The sequence below is a fragment of the Homo sapiens genome, chromosome 10 (genome assembly GCF_000001405.40).
Source record: "Homo sapiens chromosome 10, GRCh38.p14 Primary Assembly".
In the NCBI taxonomy this organism is placed as follows: Eukaryota; Metazoa; Chordata; class Mammalia; order Primates; family Hominidae; genus Homo; species Homo sapiens.
This window is the reverse complement of record NC_000010.11, coordinates 25,097,913-25,124,520: the sequence shown is the minus strand read 5'-3', so window position 1 is coordinate 25,124,520 and position 26,608 is coordinate 25,097,913. Positions and strand designations below refer to the sequence as shown.

Below are 26,608 nucleotides of genomic sequence, written 5' to 3'. Positions count from 1 at the left end.
TACATTCAGGAGGTACAGGTGCAAGTTTGTTATATGGATATATTGCATAATGGTGAAGTTGGGGCTTCTAGTGTACCCATCACCCAAATAGTAAACATTGTACCCAGTAGGTCACTTTTCAACACTTACCCTTTTCCTACTGTTACAGAAAAGTGGTCCTGATCCAGACACCGGGAGAGGGTTCTTAGATCTCACACAAGAAAGAATTCAGGGCGAGTCACTAAAGTGAAAGCAAGTTTATTAAGAAAGTAGAGAAATAAAAGAATGGCTACTCCATAGACAGAGCAGCCCCAAGGGTTGCTGGTTGCCCATTTTTATGGTTATTTCTTAATGATGTGCTAAATAAAGGGCAGATTATTCGTGCCTCCCCTTTTTAGACCATATAGGGTAACTTCCTGACATTGCCATAACGTTCATAAACTGTTATGGCATATAGCAGTGAGGACGACCAGAGGTCACTCTTGTCACCATCTTGGTTTTGGTGGGTCTTGGCCAGCTTCTTTACTGCAAACTGTTTTATTAGCAAGGTCTTTGTGTCCTATATTTTGTGCCAACTTCCTATCTCATCCTGTGACTTAGAATGCCTTCCATCTGGGAATGCAGCCCAGTAGGTCTCAGCCTCATTTTACCCAGCTCCCATTCAAGATGGAGTTGCACTGGTTCACACACCTCTTACATTTCCCCCCTCCCTTTTATAAAAGAACCCTTAATCCTAAGGGTTGCAGAGGGACAAAGATTCATCTTCTGTAACTTCTTCAGGCTGAATAGGGGTGATGATCTATTCCTGGCTGACTATTAGAGTCTCTTGTGTTAGGGGTAGAGAGGAGCTCAGTCAGAAAGCATCAGTATGGTAAGGGCCATTCATAACTCTTAAGTTCTGACAAAAGGTGCTATCTGAAAAAATAATAAGAGTTCAGTTTAAGACAATGTTGAGTAAGCTTATCCTGCATTCCTATACAAAGAGTACAATAGCAATATATTCCACAACAGTAAAGCAAAATACGTAAAATTATTCCAAGTAAACTAAATTAGAAGGCTTTCCATGAACTGGGCAACTGTTGGAACCAAGCTGATATGGGGTTGCTAGTTGATTGCAATGTGCCCAGAATTAGAATATTGATTTAGATTGTTATATTACCTATCCCTCTTGTTTTTTCTGAGCAGCAGTCAGAGATCACTGGTTGGTTCACAGGAATAAGCAGGGTTAGCCTAAATTGCAGAAACAAACTTAAAAACAACTGATGAGACTAAAATTTAATACAAGTGTACCATAATTTCTGAAACATAACTTCTCTCTCCAGTTTCCCATTTTTATTAAAGACAAATCATGGTAAGACTGATTTGCTTTATTATACTTGGCCTGATTATTTGTATAAACTGTAGCAAGAATAATTGTTTTTCACATAAGCTCTTTTTAAATTGGCTTTGATGGAACTCGGTTGCATAGAAGGAATCTTAGATAACACTTTTTTAGAGCCCAACCCTGCCATGGGTTTGTACTCTCAAATACCTATGAGTTGAGTAAATTCTTCTTTTCTTGGGGTACGAAGATAACTTGGGGTTCCTGGACCTGTTAGAAAGTGACATTCTTTACTTACCACAGGTCAGAAACCCTGCATAGGGACTCTGTAGGCAAAGTATAGGCCAGTTCCCCAAGCGGCTTTCATTGGCTTTACAAGTCAAGTTTGATTGCTTAAAGGAAAGCATCCATTCCAGTCAAAGCCTTGGTAAAATAACCAATTTCTCCAATTTTGTTCTGTGGCAAAAGAAAACAGGTTCTTATTGCACTTATGAAAATAATTATATTGCCATAAATTAAGATCTTACAAATAGTTTCCAAATTCTAGAGAAATCAGGTAGAGAGAAACAAATATGCTCCAGATTTTGTTCACAGGAGTACACTTTGCTCAATTGTTAAAAGCTGTAAATAACTAAAAAGAAAAGTTTTCTGGACTCTGGAAAACAAAGGATCAGCAATGTTTTAAGCAAAAAGTGAAAAAGATCATTTTAGACTGCTGTTAGTTCAGTCAATTCATTTAACTCCTGTTCTGCTTGATATGTATGAACATTCCAGTTCTCCGTGTGTCCTGAAACTTTTTTCCTCTATTCTAACGTCACAATCTCCAAAGTTATCAGAAACTTGCATTTAAGAACATCTGTCAAAGTCCTGGCCAGGCATGGTGGCTTATGCCTATAATCCCGGCAGTTTGGGAGGCCTAGGCAGGTGGACCACCTGAGGCCAGGAGTTTGAGACCAGCCTGGCCAACACGGTGAAACCTTATCTTCACTAAAAATACAAAAATAAGCCAGGCATGGTGGCACATGCTTGTAATCCCAGCTACTAGAAGGATGAGGCAGGAGAATCACTTGAACCTAGGAGGCAGAGGTTGCAGTGAGCCGAGATCACACCACTGCACTTCAGCCTGGGCGACAGAGTAAGACTCCATCTCAAAAAAAAGAAAAAAAGTCCTATAGCTGATTATAAACCATCTTCTAAAGAGGATTAAAACAAGACAATAATTATCTGTGGATGACAAAACATCTTAGGACAGCTACAGTCAAAAACTTGATTGACAAAGAAATTTGGTTACCTCTGTGGCATAGAATGATTTTAACATAATAATTACTAATAACATACACTAAGTCATACCAGATTTATAGGAGTTTCCCACAATTTTGGATCATGTACCAATAACACATTTATACAAATACAGCCCCCCAAAAAAAAACACTATTTCACATTTGATAATGCTTCCTGTATGACTTTTATACCAAATAGGCCAAATGTTACTGTTGCATTAGTGCATTATTGATGTCAAACCAAATTCTTAATAAGACCATATAGACAAGTGTATTTAATCTTAATCAATTTGACCATAAGGTAAGAGTCTCATAAACCTTTTATAACCTTTTACAATTTTTGTTAAAGAGCAGATCATAAGCAGGTTTTTGCTTGAAGAAAAACTTGTTGTGCATTTATTATATGCCTCTGACACTTCCTTTCCCCCTTTTGGAATCCCCAGTGCCTACTGTTTCCATCTCTATGTCCATGTGTGGCCATTGTTTAACTCCTACTTATAAGTGAAAACACACAGTATTTGATTTTCTGTTTCTGAGTTATTTCACCTAAGATAATGGCCTCCAGCTCCACCCACGTTGCTGCAAAAGACATGATTGCATTCTTTTTTACGGCTGAGAGAGAAAATCATCATTTTCTTCATCCAATCATCCATTGAAGGACATTTAGGTTGATTTTATGACTTTGCTATTATGAACAATGCTGTGATAAACATGAGTGCAGGTGCCTTTTTTATGCAATGATTTCTTTTCTGGGAAGGTAGATACCCAGTAATGGGAGTGCTAGGCCAAATGATAGTTCCATTTTTAGTTCTTTGAGGAACCTCCATGCTGTTTTCCATAGAAATTGTACTAATTTACATTCCCACCAACAGTGTATAAGCACTTCCTTTTCTCCACATCTGTTGTTTTTTTGACTGCTTAGTAATAGCTATTCTGACTCGTACAAGGTGATATCTCACTGAGGCTTTACTCTGCATTTCACTGATGGTTAGTGATGTTGAGCACTTTTATATGTATATTGGCTGCTTGTATGAGGTTCAAATTTTAATATCCAAATTATTTATGTGTATATGATTAATGTGATTAAAATTTAAAAGAAATGGAAAATAAATAGAAACAGAGCCATTCAAGGAGCCAAAAGGCATGACTTCAATAGTCCTAAGACTGTTGATATCAAGAAGCATGTTACTCGATTAAAGCACAGAGACCTCAGGGTCTGCATTCCTGTCCACCACCATATTCTACTTGTCAAATCCAGAGACTAACAGGAGTGGAGGATAAATAAAACACACTGATATATATTTGATTGGTCTTTTTATTGCATTTCCTCTAGTTGGGTCATTTGCACTTCCATTTGGGTTCAGAAAATCAACATCCCTTGAAACATGATGGGGGTGGGTAGTAAATTAAACCAGCTAACAGGCCACATGGCTAAACTTGCATTAGTAAGAAGAATGAATTGAATTGATTTTACCATCATTTTACCGTCCAAGAACTACACAGAGGCATTGCACAGTGACCTCGGCACAAGATGCTGGCTGCAGGTGACATGTCATACTGCTATGCGATCACAATGACAGTGACCATATATCAGGTTCCTATTCTGTGTCACACACTGTGCTCCAGGCTTACATAAATTCTTTCTTTTCATCCTCACAACAACACAGGGGAGGAGGTATTATTATTCCCATATCACAGTTGATGGAACTGAGGCTAAGAGAGGTTAAGCAATTTTTGCCTAAGGGTAGTTGAAAAGTAAATATAAAATGCCCAGGCAATGCCCAAACACAGCTCTGGTACAAAGCAGGTGCCCTTGACTCCTATATCCTAAGCTTTCTGGGTGGTTCTGTACATAGAAGCCGCCTACCTCACCAGTGGCATCTGGATTCATTGGAATAGGACAATAAAAATAAAATCAAGGGAATGATTAATAATTTCCTCCTCACAGTTTTCATTTAAACTCAAATCCTTCAACAATACCACTGTTTGCTCTACCAACTTCAGGCTGTCTCTCCTATGCCTTCCCTTCCGCCGCTATGTGCTTTGCTTGTGTGATCTGATTAGCTCTCAAATGCCACAATAATTCTATGATTTATATTTCATTTCAATACATACAGAGTCCCAACTCCTAAATGTGCAGAGCTAGTTTTATTTCAGATGCTATAATAAGAAGGAACATGAATAAAAAAAAAAGAAAAAGAAACATACAAATCTCGTAACAACCTTACAAATCCACTGGAAAAATGAATATATTTCAAGTCAATAGCTGATCAGCACGTTATCTATCCAAGTATCTATGTAAAATTACTCAATCTCACTAATTGTAAAATATGCAAGCTAAAATCCGACACCATCTCTTCTTATCTATCCCATTTGATCTATTTGCAGAGGCGGGTTTAAATGCGTGCAAACACACACGCACACACAAACAGTGCTAATAAAATTGCAGTGGGATTGGGCCTCTCATCCATTGCTGATAGGATTTTAGTTTGCATCTGTCTTTCTCAAAGACCACTGGGCAAGACACACACAAACACACACACACACACGCACACACACATATGCGCGCACACACACACACACACACACATATACGTGCTCCAGAAGTGCTTCTACCACTTGGCCCAGTGATTCACCTTCTAGATATCTACCCTAAGGAATGAAACTGAGAATACAAGATTTACCTAAAGGCTATTTATCATTGCTTTAGAATAGTCAAAACTATAAAAACAACTGAGATGTTGGCAAGTGGGAGACCAGTTAAATAAATCCTGGTACAGTCATATCAGGTGGACAGTTGTGAAGCTATTAAAATTAGGTTTTTGAGAAGTATTTAAAGACCTCAGGAAATGGCCACCTGATACGGCTAAGTGCAAACAGGATAGAAAACTTATGTAGAATATGATTCCAATCTTGTAATAGAAATTGTATATATATATATGTGTGTGTGTGTGTGTATATATATACATATATATGTCATTATACTGAAACTTTATCAAATACTTCTATTTTTCTTTTTAGAAAATATGGATGGAAAGGACACTAAAATTTAATAGCACTAGTATTTTGTGGGCTATTAATTATATTCTTCATATTTTTCTGTACTTTTTAAATGGTCAGAAGAACTACTTCTATAGCCAGAAAAAAATAATGATGCCACTTTTTAAAAAAACAAGCCAGGCAGAGCGGTACATGCCTGTAGTCCCAGCTACTCAAGAGGCTGAAGCAGGAGAATCCCTTAAACCCAGCAGTTTGAGACTACAGTGAGCTATGATCACACCACTCCACTCTAGCCTGGATGTCAGAGCAAGACGTTTTTTTTTTTTCTTCTTAAAGACCAGTTTGATAGTAGGGACTCCATTTTAACAACAACAATAACAAAAAAGCAAAATAGTAAATGAGTCTGGCTACAACCATTTATTGTCAGCATTTCCTGCCTCTCCTCATTCCCATAAAAGGGGCTAACCAAGGCATGGAAGAACAACCCAAACTGGGATTGCCACCATTAATCCTGTGAAATGCGATGAATTTTCTACCTGGGCTTGGTGACATAGATTTTTGCCTTTAGCATCTGTAAAAGGAAGACCATTGGTAACTTGCATAGAAACATTAAGACGTAGTAATATTGTATACAGATATCAAACTAGCACAGGTACTCCCCAAATATGTACAACTCATATATCAATTAAATGTATATATATATATATAATAATTTTTAAAAATACCTAGTAGAAGCTGTGTTGAATAAGGTCATGGCCCTTTCAGAGGAGAAGGAAAGCTGTGTCATCCTTTGAGTACCTATTTCTAGCACTTTCCTTTGTATAAGGACAGCATGACTAGATTACAACAAAAGAATCTTAGGAAAAGTCACTACCAAGAGGGAGTCAGTCATGTGAAAGGGTCAGGGGAAGAAAAAAGCAAGGCAAGTGTGTGGGAGGGACATCGCAGACACACTGCCCAACAGACAGAAAATAGACATCCATATATCAACAGCGGTCCCTACGGTCATGGGACGTTACTCATATCCCATGACTTTGCTTTCTGTACTTGGTTATCTCAAATACATGAAAACATTATCAATCAGCCTTCCAGAAAAATATCAACTAATGAGCCGCCTTTTCGTTTCTTTCATTTGTCTAAGTTACAAGGCTCAATGTAAACCTTCCTGAAATAGACAGCAAATTTCTTAAAACATGTTTTAATGAGCGGCCCTCCACATTTCCCCTTTCCTGTTACTCTCTATGTCTCTCAGGAGAAAAATAAGAAAATTTATTCAAATTCTTTTCCAATTGATTTTGTTTTGATTAGTGGTTCTGGGTTTTTTGTTGTTGTTTTTGGTTTGTTTGTTTGTTTACCTTTTTAAAAAAGCTGGCTTGGCACAGTGGCTCACGCCTCTTATCCCAGCACTTTGGGATGCCAAGGCAAGCAGATCACTTTAGGTCAGGAGTTCGAGGCCAGCCCGGCCAACATGGTGAAACCCTGTCTCTACGCAAAATACAACAATTAGCCGAGCATGGTGGTGCATACCTGTACTCCCAGCTACTCAGGAGGCTGAGGCAGGAGAATCGCTTGAACCCGGGAGGCGGAGGTTGCAGTGAGCCGAGATCATGCCACAGCACTCCAGCCTGGGCAACAGAACCTGACTCTGTCTAAAAAAACCAAAATATTAATTAAAATATGCTTAATTCATTTGGATAATATCTTTATAGGCATAAAGAAATAGCCAAGGAGGTTCATTATTGCCATGAGAAGATCAGCAATCTATCAGCTTCAAATGTAGTGTTTATTAAATGCTTCTATGCAGGTAATCATCCCTCCAGTATTCCCGTTGGCCAGATTCAATTTAGCTTGGTGAAGCATGTGTGGAAAACCACAAGCAAAGCCTGTGAGATACAGAGAGGGAAGGGGCTGAAGAAGGTAGACTTGTATGCCAGGCAGGCCCAGGTCTGCTCATGAAAAGGCAGGACTTAATGGAATATTCCTAGATCCTGAAATCCCAGAACAGGGGAAGGGAGGTTGCTGGGCTGTGGTGCAGGTGCACAACAAGAAAGGTTACATAAGTATGGCACAGAGAGAATTTCAGGACCCACACCCCCAAACCCAGGCCTGGAAAATGTGCCTTTGCTGAGTAGCAGAACTCATACCTTACGTGGTAGGGTATATTGTTTCTGGATGCTGATGGAACTTTTTAAGATGTAGATAAATTCCCAGGGGCCCTTTTAAGCAGACTCTCACCCTGGGAAGACTGCTGATTATCACAGCTGCAGAAGGGGGACCCCAGGAAGCCCAGGTCTGTGTCTTTGGTAAGTAAAAACATCACGCAGAGAGCCTGGAGGATTTTTATTAAGCAAAAGATTCACAGGTTACCAAAATAATATAAAAGCCAAATTTCATTTAAAACACACAACTGTAGGAAACCTTCCATATAACCTCAAGATCCTCACCAATTCATTTATTGCAGAAAAGATGCTAAAAATATTCCAGGTCTATAGAAGAAGTCTGGAAAAAAATCCATAATTAAATTTTGGAATTTAGATGATGACAGGATGTAGAATAAAGAAAGACTCAGAGATCTTTAGGGTTGATCAGGCGTGGCCATATGGAGGAAGCGATTTGGGGAATTTTATTTCCAATGTGTTGGGAACATAATGGCAGGGGAAGATGAAAGATCTCAGGAATGTCTACAGCAAGGCGTGGACTGGAATAACCACACATGCCAAGTGAGGCTGCTTCACCCTCACACCTCGAAAGGAGCAATTCTGGCTTACAGTCAGTCTTGGTCTTTATACCCTTGTTTCTTCTGGGTCAGATTAAGGGTTCCAGAATGTTCTGCATACTCCCAAATTTTCTTTCTAAAGCAAAGTCTGCCCTACTCTAGGAATCTAGGGTCTCCCAGAGATCCTGTTACTCAGGAAAGATACTTGCATCCTGGGGATTCCTGGGATTCAAGCCTTTGGTCAACGGGCTTCAGTCTCTAAATTCATATTTTGATGAGTTCAGTTAGTCAAAAAGCTGGGGATCAGAAGTTGAAGCCCAGGAGTTCGAGGCTGCAGTGAACTACAGTCATGCCACTACAATACAGCCTGGGCAACAGAACGAGAGACCTGTTTCTAAAAAAAAAAAGAGGATGAAGAACAAAATAATTTGCAATGCTCATAAAACACACAGGGGGAAAGGAAGCATGTGGCAGAGAAAAGCACAGGAAATAGTAGATACAAGACAGGTTGAGATAAGATAATAGAGCTTAGTTTACTCTTTATACTGAAGGTAAGTAATTAGAAACAACAGGTAGATTTTTCTAGCCCTTTCTACTCATATACAACTAAAAAAAAAAACATGTTGAGCAGTCAGAAACACAGGACAGTTTCTTTCTCATAGTTACAGAGAGAACCGCCCCCCTCATGTTAAATCTGAATCGAGAAAAAAAAAATGCTGCCCCTTTGCAGAGATGAGGAACAGGGAGGGAGGCAGAGAGGGAGGGAAGGATGGAGGGAAGGAAGGAGGGAGGGAGGAAGGGAAGGGGGGAGGGAGGAAGGAAGGGAAGGAGGGAGGGAGGGTGGAAGGGAAGGAGGGAGGGAGGGTGGAAGGGAAGGAGGGAGGTAGAGAAGGGAGGGAGGGATGGAGGGAGAGAGGGAGGGAGGGAGGGAAGGAGGGAGGGAGGGTGGAAGGGAAGGAGGGAGGTAGAGAAGGGAGGGAGGGATGGAGGGAGAGAGGGAGGGAGGGAGGGAAGGAGGGAGGGAGGGTGGAAGGGAAGGAGGGAGGTAGAGAAGGGAGGGAGGGATGGAGGGAGAGAGGGAGGGAGGGAGGAAGGGAGGAAGGAAGGGAGGGAGGGAAGGATCAACGGCCACAGGACATGACACTTGCCTGTCCCAGAAGGGCAGCTTTGCCATGGCCCATAATTCAAAGTGGCTGATACAGACTAAATAAGCCAACGTGCTGTGAGCACCTACTAAGCCCAAGATGTGGAAGCTGTGGGAAATACAAAGATGGATAGGGTATGGCTTCTTGATCCCGGGCTCACGATCATCTGGAGGGAGCCAGATCAGATTAAGAATAAGAAGGAAATCCAGGCTGGGCACCGTGGCTCACGCCTGTATTCTCAGCACTTTGGGAGGCTGAGGTAGGCAGATCACCTGAGGTCAGGAGTTTGAGACCAGCTGGCCAACATGGCAAAACCTCATCTCTACTAAAAATACAAAAATTAGCTGGGTGTGGTGCCGGGCGCCTGTCATCCCAGCTACTTGGGAGGCTGAGGCAGCAGAATCACTGGAACCCAGGAGGCGGAGGTTGCAGTGAGCCAAGATTGTGCTGCTGCACTCCAGCCTGGGTGACAAAGTGAGACTCCACCTCAAAAAAAACAAAAAGAAAACAAAGTAAATCCAGTCTTTAGGGTCATAATAAACCAACCCTAAGGATGCCAAACCAGGTATTCAGGAGAAGAACAGCAATCTGCTCAAATGTAACCCAAAGGCAGTAGCTCTCAGCCCCAGCCAGCCTGCCACATAGACATCGTTTGTGATTGTGGGGGTTGCCAACTAAGAACACCAAATCACAATCCCTTTCTGCCCCCTGGTAGCCCACAGTCCAGTGTTTCACATGTCTGAATGTTCTCTGGTATCTCAAGCAACGTGTGAGCCTAAGAGTAAGAACTCCCTAGATTCAAATTGTGACTCCCCCATCTACTGTGTGACCTTGGGCAAGTTACATAACCTCTCTGTGCCTCAGTTACCTTATCTGTAAAATAAATACCTTCTTTGCCACATTGTTGAGAGAATTAAGTGAGCCAATACTGCAAAGCATTGAGGAGAGTGTCTGACACATAGTAAGCGCTTAATAAATGTTAGCTACTTTTATACCAAAGTCCTCTATTTAGGAAGTCCTTATTGTTTCTTATCAGCCAATACCTTCACAGGAATGAGCAAGAAGTTGTATAGGCTGAAGAGGGTGGAGGTGGAGACAAGTGGAGTGAGGAGTTAAAAGCATGGCAGAAAACAAAAAGCTCTCTGTTTCTCAATGCTGCTGGGTATCTGTCACCATGGTGATTTGGGGCTGGGACTAGGGGAAGGTGCACAATGAAAGCAGCTGCCTGGGCGCCTCTCAGCCCCACCCTGGTTCTGGCTCATCTTGGCACTCATACTGGTTTCCTCCTAGGGCCTTTCTTTGGGTTTTCCTGGCATCCTCTTTGATGACATAGGAAAGAACATGGACAAATATATGAGAGAAATAAAGAAAAGTTAGAAAACTAGTTACTCACCAAACATTCCGTAAAACTACAGTCAATGTGGGAGCCCAAGAGTGATGCCCACTTTCAAACACCGCTGCCCCCACCAGTGACTCAGTCTAGAACAAGTAGAGTCTGAATAGAGAGCACCCCCCATCAGCTCCCACTCCCGCCCCACACCGCGCTGAGAGAGCTGCCCAGGGTGGGTAAGAGTTAGGAGGGACTGTCTGGTCAGCCGCGGGGAGCGTGTCAACCTCATTTAACCCTGCAGAAGCATTTCCCCCTTGTTTGTACTTAGAACAAACCAGGAATCCATTCTTTCACAGAGCACTGCTCCTGTCCTGAGCTGGCCGCTTGCCTGGTAGCCAATCGAAATGTCTAGCCGCCCCCTAGTGGTAAAGGTTTGTGCCATGGCTGTAGAGAAGGCACCTAAGATCCTGAAAGGTGATGGGAAGGGTGTTTGAGAATGCGCCTTCTTCCCCCTCCTGTGCAAATGGATGTGCCAAACATTTGCTGCGCCAGGGGCCACCTTGGCTCACTTCTCTGCCAGACGCTATGGTGGGAGGTGAGATGCTTGCTGGGCAGAGACCAGATTTAATTTTCTGCTTGTTTCCATAAGTAAACTGTCTATCCCTTGTCAGAGCTTCTCCTTAAGCTCTTTCTGCATCAGGGTGGTAGACACAACATCTGTGGATGCTTTTGATTTCTTGTTTGCCTAGGAACTAACTGGAACCTCTGTGAAGATGGAATGTGGTTTTCTTTCCCTTTCTTTTGGTCCACCTGTCAGTAAGGGGACAGGAGGGAAACCCTCAGGGCTGGCTCATATCTTTAAGGCAGCCCCTGAGTGGTATTCCATGTGGATTGGCTCATTGGTCTTTAATTTCCAGGCTTAGCTTGATCGTAGATTTTAGACAATTTATACTTAATGGTAATTAACAAACACCGATCATTTGAAGGAGTGTTGCTTGGTGACTAAGAGCATAGGCTCTGGCGCCCAGACTACTCAGAATCAACCCTCATCTTTATCACTTACAAGCTGTGTGACCTTGGGAAAACTCCTTAACTTCTCTGTGCCTCAGGTTTCTAATCTGTAAACAGGGGTAATAAGAGAAATTACCTGATAGGCTTACCCAGAGGACTAAATGAGTTAAATTTGTAAAACCCCTGGAGTAGAACCTGATACATTGTGAATGTTGTGTTAGTTATTAGGAAAGTTGTTGTTATATGTCATGGATATCAGTAATTATTATGTTTATTATTATTATGCATTATTAGACATATCACTTCCTTTATCTCCTCCACAATCCTTTTGTTATCCCCATTTCACAGATGAAGAAACTAAGGCAGGAAGTTGTTAAGTGTCTTTCCAAAAGACTGTGTCAAACGGGCCCAGCACTGAGGAGTTCACGCAATCCATCATAGGAGTTCAGAGAGTCACAGGGTAAGCTCATGATCTAAACAAATATCTGTGAGGAAGTGTTATCAGTCCTCAGACAGAAATCTGAAGAGGGTATTGTGTGGTGGATAAAATAGGGAGGCCAAGAGGGGAAGGAAGAGTCAGGAAATCCATGGATAGAAAGGGGAAGAGAAGGGTGAACAGAAGAAATATTGTGAACAAAGGCAAAGATGTGGGAGGCAGCAAGGGATGCTCTGCAAGCACGGTGAGTGTTGGTTGCAGTGAGAAACAGGATGAGCTGTGTACAGTGACTCACGCCTAGAATCCCAGCACTTTGGGAGGCTAAGGCAGGAGGATCGCTGAAGCCCAGGAGTTCAAGACTAACCTGGCCAATGTAGCGAGATCCCCGTCTCCAAAATATTTTTTTTTAATTAGCTGGTCATGTTGGCTCACATTTGTAGTCCCAGCTGCTTGGAGGGTGAGGTGGGAGGATTGCTTGAGGCTGGGAGTTCGAGGCTACAGTAAGCTATGATTGTGCCACTGTACTCCAGCCTGAGGGACAGAGAAAGTCCTTGTTTCAAAAAAAAAAAAAAAAAGAAAAAAGAGAGAAAGAGAGAGAGAAGCAGGATGAGATGGGATTGAGAGGAGAGGAGGAGTCAGATCAGCCCTTTCAGGCTGGGCTGCACTGTTGGACTAGAAGCCCATGAGCAAAGGCTCTCAAATAGGGAAGTGACATGAGAGAGCCAGAAAATCCACTCGTCTGCCCTCTTTTACAATAACTGATAAAATTCCTGATGTGGAGTAATAGTTTTGAATTTTATTTTAATTTTATTGAGACGGAGTCTCGCTCTATCACCTAGGCTGAAGAGCAGTGGGGCAATCTGGGCTCACTGCAACCTCTGCCTCCTGGGTTCAAGCCATTCTCTTGCCTCTGCCTCCCGAGTAGCCAGGATTACAGGTGCCCACCACCACACCTGGCTAATATTTGTATTTTAGTAGAGACAGGGTTTCACCATGTTGGTCAGGCTAGTCTTCAACTCCTGACCTGAAATGATCCAAATACCTTGGCCTCCGAAAGTGCTGGGATTAGAGGTGTGAGCCACCACACCCAGCCTGAATTTTTTTAGAACACACTGGCCCTTAGATTTAGAAGTATTGGTGGTCAGCATCTCTCCTCCACTGGCCATTTTTCTAGTTGGTTCTTACCAATTCTAACCTGACTGTAGATGAAAATGGAAACAAAATTAAAAAAGAACAACCAGGCTGGGCGCAGTGGCTCACACCAGTAATCCCAGGACTTCGAGAGGCCAAAGCAGGAGGGTCACTTGAGGTCAGGAGTTTGAGAACAGCCTGGCCAACATGGCAAAAACCCATCTCTACTAAAAATATGAAAATTAGCCAGGTGTGGTGGCACACGCCTATAGTCCCAGCTGTGTGGGAGGCTGAGGAAGGAGCATCGCTAGACCCCCAGGAGGCAGAGGTTGCAATGAGCTGAGATCACATCACTGCACTCCAGCCTGGGCTACAGAGTGGGACTCTGCTTAAAAAAACAAAAACAAAAACAGAAAAAAACCCACCAAATTATTGCCTCCTCTCTACACCTTCTCCTGTCAGCCTGAATGACAGCTGCATAATGCAAATGTCCCATTAAAGTTACTAATGGTTCCAAACTAATAATGGCTTCTGGCATTTCTTTTCTTTTTTTTCTTTTTTTTTTTTTTTTTTTTTGAGACAGGCTCTTGCTCTGTCACCCAGGCTGGAGTGCAGTGGCACAATCTCAGCTCACTGCAGCCTTGACCTCTTGGGCTCAAGCAATCCTCCCACCTCAGCCCCCCAGCTTCCTGTAGCTGGCACTACAGGTGCATGCCACCATAGATGGATAATTTTATTTTATTTATTTATTTTTTTGAGACAGAGTATCTCTCTGTCTCCAGGCTGGAGTGCAATGGCGCGATCTTGGCTCACTTCAACCTCTGCCTCCCAGATTCAAGCGATTCTCCTGCCTCAGCCTCCCAAGTAGCTGGGATTACAGGCGCCCACCACCATGCCTGGCTAATTTTTTGTATCTTTTAGTAGAGACGGTGTATCACCACGTTGGCCAGGCTGGTCTCGATCTCCTGACCTCGTGATTCACCCACCTCGGCATCCCAAAATGCTGGGATTACAGGCATAAGCCACCATGCTCAGCCCATGGATGGCTAATTTTTTAAATTTTTGGTAAGGACAGGGTCTCACTGTCAGACATTTGAACGAGAGCAACTCCATCTTGAATAGGGGCTGGGGAAAATAAGGCTGAGACCTGCTGGGCTGCATTCCCAAGAGGTTAGGCATTCTAAGTCACAGGATGAGATAGGAGGTCAGCACAAGATACAGGTCATAAAGACCTTGATGATAAAACAGTTTGCAGGAAAGAAGCCAGCCAAAATCCACCAAAATCAAGATGGCGATGAGCGTGACCTCTGGTCATCCTCACGGCACATTATATGCTAATTTTAATATATTAGCATGCCACAAGACACTCCCACCAGCGCCAAGACAGTTTACAGATGGCATGGCAATGTCAGGAAGTTACCAGAAAAAGGGGAGGAACCCTCAGTTCCAGCAATTGCCCACCCCTTCCCTGGAAAACTCATGAATAACCCACCCCTTGTTTAGCATGTAATCAGGAAGTAACAATAAGTATCTTTAGGCCAACAGCTCAAGCCGCTGCTCTGCCTATGGAGTAGCCATTCTTTTCTTCCTTTACTTTCCTAATAAACTTGCTTTCACTTTACTCTATGGACTCACCCCAAATTCTTTCATGCATGAGATCCAAGAACCTTCTTTTGGGGTCTGGATTGGGACTTTTTCCCAGTAACATCACCATGTTGCCCAGGCTGGTTTTGAACTCCAGGGCTCAAGCCGTCTTCCCACCTCGGCCTCCCAAAATACTGGGATTGCAGCTGTGAGCCACCTCGCCAGGCTGTGGCCTCTTATGTTTTCTGCTTAACACTATTGCAACCTAACCCACTCATTGCTACAATTAGAGATCTAGGGTCAAGGAATCTGTCCTTAAGGAGTTTAGATGCTAAACAGTCAAAGTCATAATTGGGAATAGAAGAGACTGAGCTATCTATCGCTCCACTGAAACTCAGCATGCTATCATCCTAAGGAAGAGCACTTCCCCTAGAAATTGTTAATGGAAAAATCAAACTCTGTAAAGTATTCAGAGTTTTATCCTGAGCCAACAAGAGTACCCATGGCCCAGGGAACAGTCACAGCAGGTCATGAGAAAGCGTGCCCAAGGTGGTTGAGTTATGGTTTGGTTTTATATATTTTAGGGAGACAGAAATTACAAAGACATAACTCAATACATGTAAGATATACATTGGTTCAGCCTAAAAAGGTAGGACTTCTCAAAGTGGGTCATAAATGGAGTCAAAGGTTTTCTAACTGGCAATTAGTTGAAAGAGTTACATTGTATCTAAAGACTTGAAGCCAGTGAAAAGAAATGCTTGAATTAATATGAGGTGGGTTATGGAAACCAAGGTTCTTGTTATGTAGATGAAGCCTCCAGAGAATAGATGGTAAATATCTTTTTTGGGACCTTAAAAAGGTGTCAGACTCTTAGTTGCTCTCTTTTAGATCTTGGAACGGCCTGGCTGCATTAATGGAGATTCTCTGCAGATGCAAATTTCTCCCACAAAAGACAGCATTGCAGGGTTATTCCAAAATACATCAAAGAAATATATTTTGGGTCAGATAAAAACTATATTTGATTTCCTTCCGGGTCTGCTATCTTTCATGTGATGCCATACCGAAGTCAGGTTGGAATTTGGTATGTTATTGCCACAAAGAGTCTGTCTGGTCAGCCTTACGATCTCTATTTTAATGTTAAAGCTTGTCAGCTGTGCCTAAACTCCTAAGGGTATAATGAGGTGTGTTCAACTTCCCTTCCTGTTATGGCCAGGAATTCAGCTTTCAGATTTCTCTGTGATCCCCTTAGCCAAGGGGGTGTCTGTTCCGTTGGTTGGGGGGCTTAGGAGTTTATTTTTGTTTTACACAACCTTCAAAAGAGACCCGAGCACCAGTTAGACTTTCCTCAACTGAGCCCACTGGTCACCAGCAAAATAATAGAGGTACAAACAGCAGAGGACACTTACGATATCCAGACTGAACCCTGCACACCACATCAAATGGCAAGGCTTTATGACTAGCCAGGGAGGTTAACAGGTACAGGCATCATTGCATTTCTCCACAAAGTGAACATCCATAGCAAGGTAAGTATAAATAGGAACTAAATCATGGCTACAGTGTGAAGTACCAGAATAGGGCTAACCCTTTCCTTGACCTGATTCTAATGCATTGTATGAGCATGATTGACAGCAATGGTGATTATAGTAATGATGAAAACACATTCTGGGAATCCAAGTTCATCTGGGATTCTAGGATAGTCATTGGTAATGAGATTTCTCCTGTCTCTGACATCCTACGATACCTCTAAATCCTAGTTGAAGGTTAGAATTACCTGGCGAGCTTTAAAAACTTTCCCTGGGTGCCAACCCAGAATGTCTGCAGGAGAGGCCTGGGCTGCAGTATTTTTATAAAAAATCATTATTACAAAATATTCCTTTATAAATTAATGGCAAATATGTGATACCATTTCTGGGCCATCCTGATCATAAGCAACAGTATCATTCCCTTCAGAAAAGCGGTGAAATGGGAAGAACAAGCAGGAAGGCTGTGGCTTTTAAGCCAGCTCTTTAAACTCGAGCCACTTGTCTTTCACTTAGCAGTTGTGTGGACAAATTACTCAACTGTATAGACTTCCGGCTTCTCCATTTGCAAAACGAGGATAAGGTAACCCATTTGGAAGATGTAGTGCTTGACTCAGTAGAAGCTTAACTAAAACTAGCTGTAATAGTAACCATCACTAAAAAATAAAGAATAATGAAAAGTCAAGGCATGTATAGTGAACCAGGCACCGCTACTAACTAGAGATGAAAGTTGCAACTTCACCAGGGAAACTGTTTAAACACTCTGGGTCTATTCCCTCATAAAATGTCCACAAATTGAAAAGCTTGAGATAGGCCAGGTGTGGTGGCTCGTGCCTGCAATCCTAACACTTTTGGAGGCTAAGGCGGGTGGACCACCTGAGGTCAGGAGTTCGAGACCAGCCTGGCCAATTTGGTGAAACTACTTCTCTACTAAAAATACAAAAATTAGCCGGGTGTGGTGGTGCACACCTATAATCCCAGCTACTCGAGACGCTGAAGCATGAGAATAGCTTGAACCCAGGAAGCAGAGGCTGCAGTGAGCCAAGATCGCGCCACTGCACTCCAGTCTGGGCAAAAAAGAAAGACTCTGTCTCAGGAAAAAAAAAAAAAAAAAAAAGGAAAGAAAGAAAAAAGAAAGAAAGAAAGAAAGAAAGGTTTGAGATAGATGTTCTCTGCAGTAACTTTTATCTTTAACATCCTGTTGTATTTAAAAAGTAGCAACAGGCTGAAAATAAGTCTTAGGAGGTACATAGTGAATACTGTTGTCTGTGACTGACAGGAAGAACTGAGGAGACAGAGTAGGAGTCAGCTCTGGGAGGCTTGGTTCATAAGCTGCACTCAGCCCTCTCCTGACCACATCTGAAATAGAAGTGCACATCTCTCTTCCAGCTCCAGTAGATCTGTACACCTAGCATTTTTCTGGTCCAATTATCAGGCACCCCTCACTAGTGACCTAGTTAGGAGGATATAAAAAATACATTAACTAGAAATCAGAGGAGCAGATTCTACCTGTTACTCCAATACCAACTGAGTGGAGGCCACAACTTCTCTGCATCTCAATTTCCCCTCTACAAAATAAAAATGACAATATCTACCTTCAACATATTTTCAGCGATGTAGGGAAGGTAAATGATTTCGACCTAATAAAATGAACTTTGGGAACTTCAGAATATCCACAGAAAAGAAAAATAGAGATGCTCTAAGTCAACTCCAGTCAGGCTTTTGAAGACCAGAAAGGTTATCTCCCCTTTCAATGAGATCTTCAGTTTTCAAAAAAATCACCATTGCAATCTAGAGGTGGCCTCAGAAGGTTGATAGTGGTGATGCCAATTAATAGAAGTGAAAGCACAACGTGAATCATTTACCCCTCTTTAAAAAAAAAACAAATCATGGGTAAGCATCATGTACAAACAAACATCAGATTGCATCCCGGGGTTCCTTGTATTCAGATGGTCAGCATCACAGCTAGTGTCCACAGTAGTCTAATGGAATGTATTATCCATGAATGTGCATACATTAGCATTATCAAGAATACAAAATGGTACTATTATTATGTAAGCAGCCTCAGTTTAAACGAGCTGTCAGTCAACTGCCTCCAGGCTTGCCAGCATCTAGTTTGTTGGCAGATAGAACATCTCAACCTGCTTTTTCCTGTCATGTATTTGACAAACATTATCATAAACCAGGTGCCTTTTTGAGCTGTCACCTCTTCGTGGGCATCTGCCTTATCCATCGAGTGGAGCACCCATTAAAAAATGGGGACATTATTTCAGCAGCTAATTAACCAAGCTAAATGAATATATAAATTCATTTTTTCAATTCAACTTTCCATTTCTCCTTCCAGCTGCTAATAGAGGGAGTAGAGTCAGTAATGTGTTATGAATGGATGATGTGTGAGGTTATGTCTTAATAAAAAACCCGCATGTCCATGCAGATTTTTATAACCAACAATTAGGAAAACTTTGACAATTTTAAGACACTCACAACACATCCAGAAGAAGACTATTGTGTTTCATAATTTCCAGAGACTCATTGTAAACATGAAAAGCTTTGTTTTTCTTTAAGGAGACTTTTAAAATGCATTTGCAATCAGAGCCAAATAAAGAGTCACAGGATGAGTCCCTAAGTTACCCAGTGTGAATTTCAGCACCTGACAATGACCTCATCTTCCTTAAGTGCCCAAACCAGGACATTCTTCAGGAGGATAAATAGATATTGTCCCATATAAACACTTTGCTTCATTTTTAAATGACTGGCAATGAGAACGATGTCTATAAATTTTGATTTATTGGGTTTTTAAAAGAATAATAATTTGGGGATTGTAAACTACCCAGTCACTCCCCTCCTTTAAAATAATGTTTTGTAAAAAAAAAAAAAGATGCAAAGATGTTATCCAAACCTCAGTAACGTGAACCATAGCATTACGCTTCAGGCAATGAGCTAAAAAGTAGTTTTCAGGGAACAGAAATGAGTTTTCACTTACAGCAGAAAGAACTCTGTGAAACTGGGGAGAACAAAGCCCAGAAAGGATGGGAGACAGGAATCAAGGTGCTCAACCTTAGCCTGTTGCCAAGCGTGAATGTCTGTTTCATTATGAGGACAAGACAGCTTTCTGTAAATGGAGGCTCCAATAAACTTGCAGAGATGGGTGTTGAATGGTTAATGCTTAACACCTCTGAATGTGACAGGACCTTCCTTCGAAAAGATAACTCCTCCCAGATATGACAAGCTGATTCGTGAGCGCAAACTGGTCCTGAAACTGAAATTTGGGAAGGGTCAAGAAAGTAAAATCCATGATGTGGAAAGAAAAGCAAAAGTGGAGATCTTCCTGTTAATGCAGAAGCCCAGTGTCATTTCTCAGGTGGCAAGGCCAGATCTAGCCAGCACTCACACACAGAGCATTATGCAAAGCAGGCACAAGATGGACAGGCTGGCAGATATCCCACTGGCTCCGATTCTGCAGGTCCCAGCCAATTCATCTGCTAAGGAAAAATTGTGTTAATTAATAGAAAATGAGTGTGAAGAAAACGAATATCACACGGCAATTGCAACACTCTGCTCCCATACCAGGAGATTTGGGTCTTCTGTTGGGCTGCAGACACAGAGCATCTTGAATGAAGTCCTTATCCTGTGCATTCCTCTCAATGCCAACTTCCTTGCCCTCTGCCATTCTTTCATTGGCCAGTTGACCCTGAAGTGACCCATTCACTCACTGCCTCTGTCTACAGAGTTTATTGAGTATCTAGAATCTTTCATGGTTCATGTTTCAGGCCTGGTCCTAGGCTCTGGGGATGTGGAAATGACTCTAGAACCCGGTTCTTTTATTTTTATTTATTTGTTTATTTTTGAGACTGAGTCTCGCTCTGTCACCCAGGCTGGAGTACAATGGTACAATCTTGGCTCACTGCAACCTCCACCTCCCAGGTTCAAGCAATTCTCCCGCCTCAACCTCCTGAGTAGCTGGGATTACAGGCACCCGCCATCATGCCCGGCTAATTTTTGTATTTTTTGTAGAGACAGGGTTTCACTGCATTGCCCAGGCTGGTCTTGAACTCCTGACCTCAGGTGATCTGCCGCTCCCGTGGCCTCCCAAAGTGCTGGGATTATAGGAGTGAGTCACTGGGCCCAGCCAAAACCCAGTTCTTATCTCAGAAATTCACCATCCATTGCAGTTTAGCAGGAGGAGGACTACTCTGCATGTGGGTAATTAAGGAAATGAGACACGCTCTGATGGCAGTAGGAATGCATAGAGACTTCTTGGAGAAAAGGCTGGCCTATCCCTTGAATACAGGCTGTACAGGGAACTGAGGCCCTTTGTTTTAGGTTAAATGGAGGTTGCTAGGTGGAGGGCGCTAAGTGAAAATGCTATACAAACTGCATGCTTTTCACAAATAGCAGCAGTCTTCCCATCCAGCTCATTGCCAGTGGACCATCCCTGTATGTAAGTCCCCTGAATAAACCCTAGGTCTTGTTGGCTGGCTTTGGGTCTTTTCTTCAGCCTCTTGACCATGGTGCCATCCCTATTGAAGTCAATAGGCATCCAGCATGACAATACCTGACTCAAGATGGGCTAAGAGATTCTTTGTCTTGAGAAGTAGAATTGTAACCCAAAGAAGATTGTCTTTGGGTTACACTGGAGCTGAGAGATCCAAAACAGCCAGGGCTGCAGCAGCTAATGGATCTTGACAGGCAGGCAGAGAAAGGCTGGCTGTGGAGACAGGGCAGAAGGAAGCAGCTACCCAGAGGTATGAGATTACCTCAGTGTCCCTGCAAGGATGGGGGAGCAACTTCAGGCTCTGACTGGCTGGCACCTGTTCAGCCCCAGTGGGACCCAGCTATACCTCCTGTTGACCTGAGTCCCCTTACTAAGCCAATGCCAACAATGCTGGGGGGGTTGGGAGAGAAGAGGGCTGGCAGGGCTGATCCTGCCAGTGGATTTGCAGGAACAGGGGTTGGGGAGCGCTGATCTGACAACCCCTGCAGTTTAATTCCCTTCACTGAGACAGTCCTGGAGGGGCTGCTACATGAACCTGCGGGAATTCCCCACCTTGGGCACTGAGGTCCCCTTTGCTGCCTGGCAGAGAAGGCACAATGTATGGCTAAGGAACATTTATTTTTATTTTTGAAGTTCTGGGGTACGTGTGCAGGATGTGCAGGTTTGTTACATAGGTAAACGTGTGGCATGGTGGTTTGCTGCACCTATCAACCACTCACCTATGTATTAAGCCTAACATACATTAGCTATGTTTCCTAATGCTCTCCCTTCCCCCACCCCACCCAGAACAATTTTTTTAACCCTTAGTATAAGACGTAGCCCCTGTGACCTTGGCCTCATTCGTTCCAGCTTTCAAATGACTGCCACTTCTATTTTCCCCAAAAGAACTCTGCAAACGTTACCGGGCAGATGCTTCCCGAGCCATGAATCAGCAGGCTATAATCAGTCCCTCTGCGAATTCTAAGAACCTGTTCTTTCCAACACTCAGCTGACACCCCTTCCCATGATGCTTTCAGGGGAGGCCTCTAAAGCAGCTTTTTCATCTTGAGTTGTTTTTCATTTATTGCCTGTTTGTCTATGTCTTGTTTTTACAGAAACTCCTTAAGAACAAGGGCCATGAAAGTGTTCTTTTTAAACACTTAATATGTGATCACTTTAATGCAAGAATATGAGAATACACCCTTCATTAGCAATGACATCTGAGTGCCCTCTGGGCTCATCACCTCATCAGCACGCCACCCCAGCGATGAAAGGGATCTCCACACATCAGCTGGGCCGTTCTTTTGCCCATGAGCCCCTCCTAACCTCTACCCCAGGGCAGGACTGAACTTCAAGGCCAGATTCTCAGCACAGGGAGAGAGACCTTACAGAACAAAAAGACCAATCTATATTTCAGAAGAGAAAACCAAGGCCCATAAAAGTTAACTTTCTCTACATCATATAGCTAGTGAGTGGCATTATCCAGTTCTACTGCATTTATCAAATAGATGGTTCCCTGGGCTTTATAAAGAGGAGGAGGAGGTGGAGGTGGAAGCAAAGCCTGCTCTTTACCCTCCCTCTACTTTTGCAACTCCTGGGGCTACAGGGAGCCTGCCTTCAGCTCCATCTCCTGTTCCTGCCTACAGATGCTAATTAGCCATGCTCCTGGGCAGAGTCCAGTTCAGCCCTGACCTGAAATGACTGGACACAGGGCTTCCCAAGACTTTTCTCATTTAAGCCCTTTTCCTCTGCATCTCCCTTCCTCTCCTACCCCTAAAGAAAACAGTTCCAGGATGCATAAAACAAGGCAAGTTGGCTGTATCCAGCTTCCAGGCTTCCCCTATTGGAGTTCATTCTGGCTCCCTGATAGCAACCACTCACCTACCACAGCTTACAAACTCAGCTCCTGTGGGGAGGGTGTCCCAGAACCAGTTGCTCTACTCCAAGTCCAACCTCAGACAAGCTGTGTTATGCAAAGCAGGCACAAGATAGACAGTTTGGCAGGAGTTCAGTTACCTCGTATCATGGAAACTCTTACCAATGTCTAGGCAGAGAGGAAGCAGTGTATTAATTAATAGGAAATTCATGCAAAGGAGGTTCATGCTGCATTTCATATCAAAGCCCCTCTCAGGAAGTGGAACTCTAAAGGGAGTCACTGCATCAGGCAGGTTGGGGTGTTTGTTAAGGAAGAAGCGGTCCTGCCTTTCCTCTAGGGAATCACTCAATCTTCCCATTCCTCCTGTCCCCACTGGTGAGCCACTTTCCTCTTTCTTGTCTCCAACAGCAGCAGAAATTAGTCTTTGCAGAGTATTTGGCACCAGCAGAACCTACCTCTGCAGTGGTGCACAGCCAACAGATGCAGGTGCCTTTGGCTGGAAACATGCAGGCTCTAAGATGGTAATCAGTGGCCTCGGCTTCCCCCTGGGTGTTTCTCCCCATTAGCTCCCCTCCCCCAGGCTCGTACAGAGCAGTGGGGTCTCTGGACATCCAACCAGGCACCCGTCCTTACCATGCCAGAGGTCAATTGCTGTCAATTGCTGCTCCATGTGCCTGTTTCTCCCACAAGAGTATACATTCCCTTAGGACACAACCCTGCCACATTCATTGGCCTATATTATGGGATTGTTAAACATGTTTGATAAATCAATGGAAGAACGAATGGCTAAACTCTCAAGATAAACTATTATGAACTCTTTCAGATTAAAGTGAAAATTATCACTAGGGCCAAGCGATATGACTCCAGGGTATGTGCATTCTAAAAGCCTTTCACCTAAATGGTGAAAACAGGAGAATTTTAGGCACCAGGTAGTTGGGAAGGAGAGTTTAGGGGAAATCCAGTAGCCTCTCAAGGGCAGAAGAGCAACTGAAGCCCTCAGACCCAGATGATAAAAGGGAACATTGTCTGCAGAGAATTTCAAAGCAATAACATCTGACCAAAACCAGTTTGCATTTTATTATCATCTTTGTAAGTAATTTTAAACAATGTCAATGATAAAGTATCCCTCCCCACTAAAAAAATCTTTAGCTGGTTTAAATTCTGAGCAATTGCTGCGCTTTATTGTTCAATATTAATAATATATGCAAATGTCAAATGACCTCATGTTAATAACTTATTCTTGAATACACATTGTATTCTATATGGAATTTAATTTGGAGAAATCCCAGTTACACAGTTGGCCTCCAACACAGACACAGCTATACATGTTCCTTTGAAGAGTAAGTTTTTCCCCATTCAGAATCTTTCGAGCTTGTTTTGGATGAAGTTCATGTCTGCAATCCCTATGGTACCATATGTCCTTGCATTTAAACAGCAGATTCTAAATAAACAACAATAGCTCAATGATTATAAAGATGGATTTGAGTCTCAATTTTGGCGTTCAGTGTGACCACTAATAGTGTTTTTTTGTGTTTTTTTTTTGTTTGTTTGTTTGTTTTTAGGGACAGGGTCTCGCTCTGTCTCCCTGGCTAGAGTAAAGTCGAGCCATAATAGCTCACTGCAGCTTCCGATTCTGGGGCTCAAGCAATTCTTCTGCCTCGGCCTCCTGGGTAGCTGGGACTACAGGGGTGTGCCACCACACCTGGGTAATTTTTTAAATTTTCTATGGAGACGGGGATCTTGCTTTGGTGCCCAGGCTGGTCTCAGACTCCTTGCTTCAAGTGATCCTCCCACCTCAGCCTCCCAAAAGTGCTGAGATTATGGGCATGACTACCAATTTTTTGTTATTTAATATTTAAATGTTAAAACACAAAGGACTAATATCCAGAATCTACAAGGAACTCAAATAAATCAGCAAGATAAAGCAAACAAACAAATAATCCCATTAAAAAGTGGGCAAATGACATGAAAAGGTATTTCTCAAAAGAAGATAAACAAATGGCCAAAAAACATGCTCCTCATCACTAATCATCAGGGAAATGCATATTAAAACCACCATGAGATACCGCCTTACCCCAGCCGGAACGGCCATTACTAAAAAGTCAAAAAACAACAGATGCTGGTGCCAGTGCAGTGAAAAGGGAACACTTATACGCTGTTGCTAGGAATGTAAATTAGTGCAACTTTTATGGGGAACGGTATGAGATTTCTCAGAGAACTAAAAGTAGATCTACCCTTTGATCCAGCAATCCCACCACTGGGTATCTACCCAAAGGAAAAGAAGTCATCATACAAAAAAGACAGCTGCATGTGTGTGTGTATCACAGCACAATTCACAATTGCAAAGCTATGGAATCGACCTACTTGCCCATCAGCCAATGAGCGAATAAAGAGAATGTGGTATTATATATACCATGAAATACTACTCAGCCATAAAAAAGAATAAAATCACATCTTTTGCAGCAACTGGACAGGAGGCCATTATCCAATGTGAAATAACTCAGGAATGGAAACCCAAATACCACATGTTCTCACTTATGAGAGAGCTAAGCTATGAGTATGCAGGGGCATACAGAGCAGTGTAATGGACATTGGAGACTCAGAAGAGGGGAGAAAAGGAGGGGGGTGAGGGAGGGATGAAAAAGTACCTATTGGGTACAACATACACTGCTCAGGTGAGGGATACACTAAAAGCCCTGACTTCACCACTATATAGTTCATCTATGTAAACAGAAACCATTTGTATCCCTAAAGCTATTGAAATAAATTTTTAAAAATAAAATGAAAATAAATTTTAAAACAGTGAAGTACTGAGAACTGTGAGGTGAGTTGTAGTTTATTTATTTTTTGGGGGGGTTAGGTACAAACTTTATTTCATATATTATTTTACGGAATTTTCATAATATCTTTAACTTGAAATGTATTTATTTTATTTTATTTTATTTATTTATTTTTTTCGAGAGGGAGTCTCTGTCACCAGGCTGGAGTGAAGTGGTGTGATCTCGGCTCACTGCAACCTCCACCTCCCAGGTTCAAGCGATTCTCCTGCCTCAGCCTCCCGAGTAGCTGGCACTACAGATAATTGTTTTAAAAGTAGAGAATGAGTTGAGAAAAAAATATTTGTGGTATGATTTCATAGTTACCTAAATTATAATTTTTGTAGATCTTTCTACTTTATTAATATTTATCTAATAATTACTAAAAATTATTCATGAGATATTATATCAGACTAATTATATATTAGTTCAAATTGCTGTGTAGATATAAGATCTGTTGAAGTGCTGTACAGTTTCTCTTTTATGTGTTGTAATGTTTATCTTAGGCTTTATTTTTAAAAACAATTTTTATTGGCCTAAATGTGTAAACAAAGTTCAAGAAAAGAAAAATCTTACTGCTTCTTTTCTGGTCTTTCTTTCTCTTTTTTTTTTTTTTTTTGACAAGGTCTCACTCTATTGCGCAGGCTGGAGTGCAGTGGCACAATCATGACTCACTACAGCCTCAACCTCCTGGGTTTCATTGATCCTCCTGCCTTGGCCTCCCAAGTAGCTGGGACTACAGGCATGCACTACCATGCCCAGCTAATTTTTTAAACATATTTTTGTAGAAGCAGAATCTCCCTATATTGCCCAGACTGGTCGCAAACTTCTGGGCTCAAGCTATCCTCCTGCCTCAGCCTCCCAAAGTGCTGGGATTACAGGAATGAGCCACCACGCCCAGCCGTTTCCTGGTCATTCTTCTTTTACTATTATAATTCTTATTGAAAATACTTTGCTGTGTACAAGAGGTGGTTGTTAAACTATGATTC

General features: G+C 42.4%; 1 long non-coding RNA gene across 1 annotated transcript in view, besides 2 other annotated features; it reads right to left on the bottom strand.

Annotated features, from left to right (window-relative positions):
• LINC01516 (long intergenic non-protein coding RNA 1516) overlaps window positions 1-11,463 on the bottom strand; it is a 48,176-nt gene extending 36,713 nt beyond the window's left edge. The window contains exons 1-4 of the long non-coding RNA NR_120649.1: window positions 10,835-11,463; window positions 7,816-7,909; window positions 7,108-7,229; window positions 130-220 (exon numbers count right to left, since the gene is read on the bottom strand). This is a non-coding gene — a long non-coding RNA (long intergenic non-protein coding RNA 1516). The remainder of the gene's footprint in view (window positions 1-129; window positions 221-7,107; window positions 7,230-7,815; window positions 7,910-10,834) is intronic.
• Window positions 11,097-11,146: a silencer, noted in NCBI's record as "silent region_2233". NCBI's record gives its function as "represses an Ori minimal core promoter by ATAC-STARR-seq in GM12878 lymphoblastoid cells {active_cell/tissue: GM12878}" and the evidence as "EXISTENCE:reporter gene assay evidence [ECO:0000049][PMID:35858748]".
• Window positions 18,120-18,723: an enhancer, noted in NCBI's record as "NANOG hESC enhancer chr10:25394727-25395330 (GRCh37/hg19 assembly coordinates)". NCBI's record gives its function as "activates a minimal SCP1, AML or CMV promoter by ChIP-STARR-seq in naive H9 embryonic stem cells {active_cell/tissue: H9 hESC(naive)}" and the evidence as "EXISTENCE:reporter gene assay evidence [ECO:0000049][PMID:30033119]".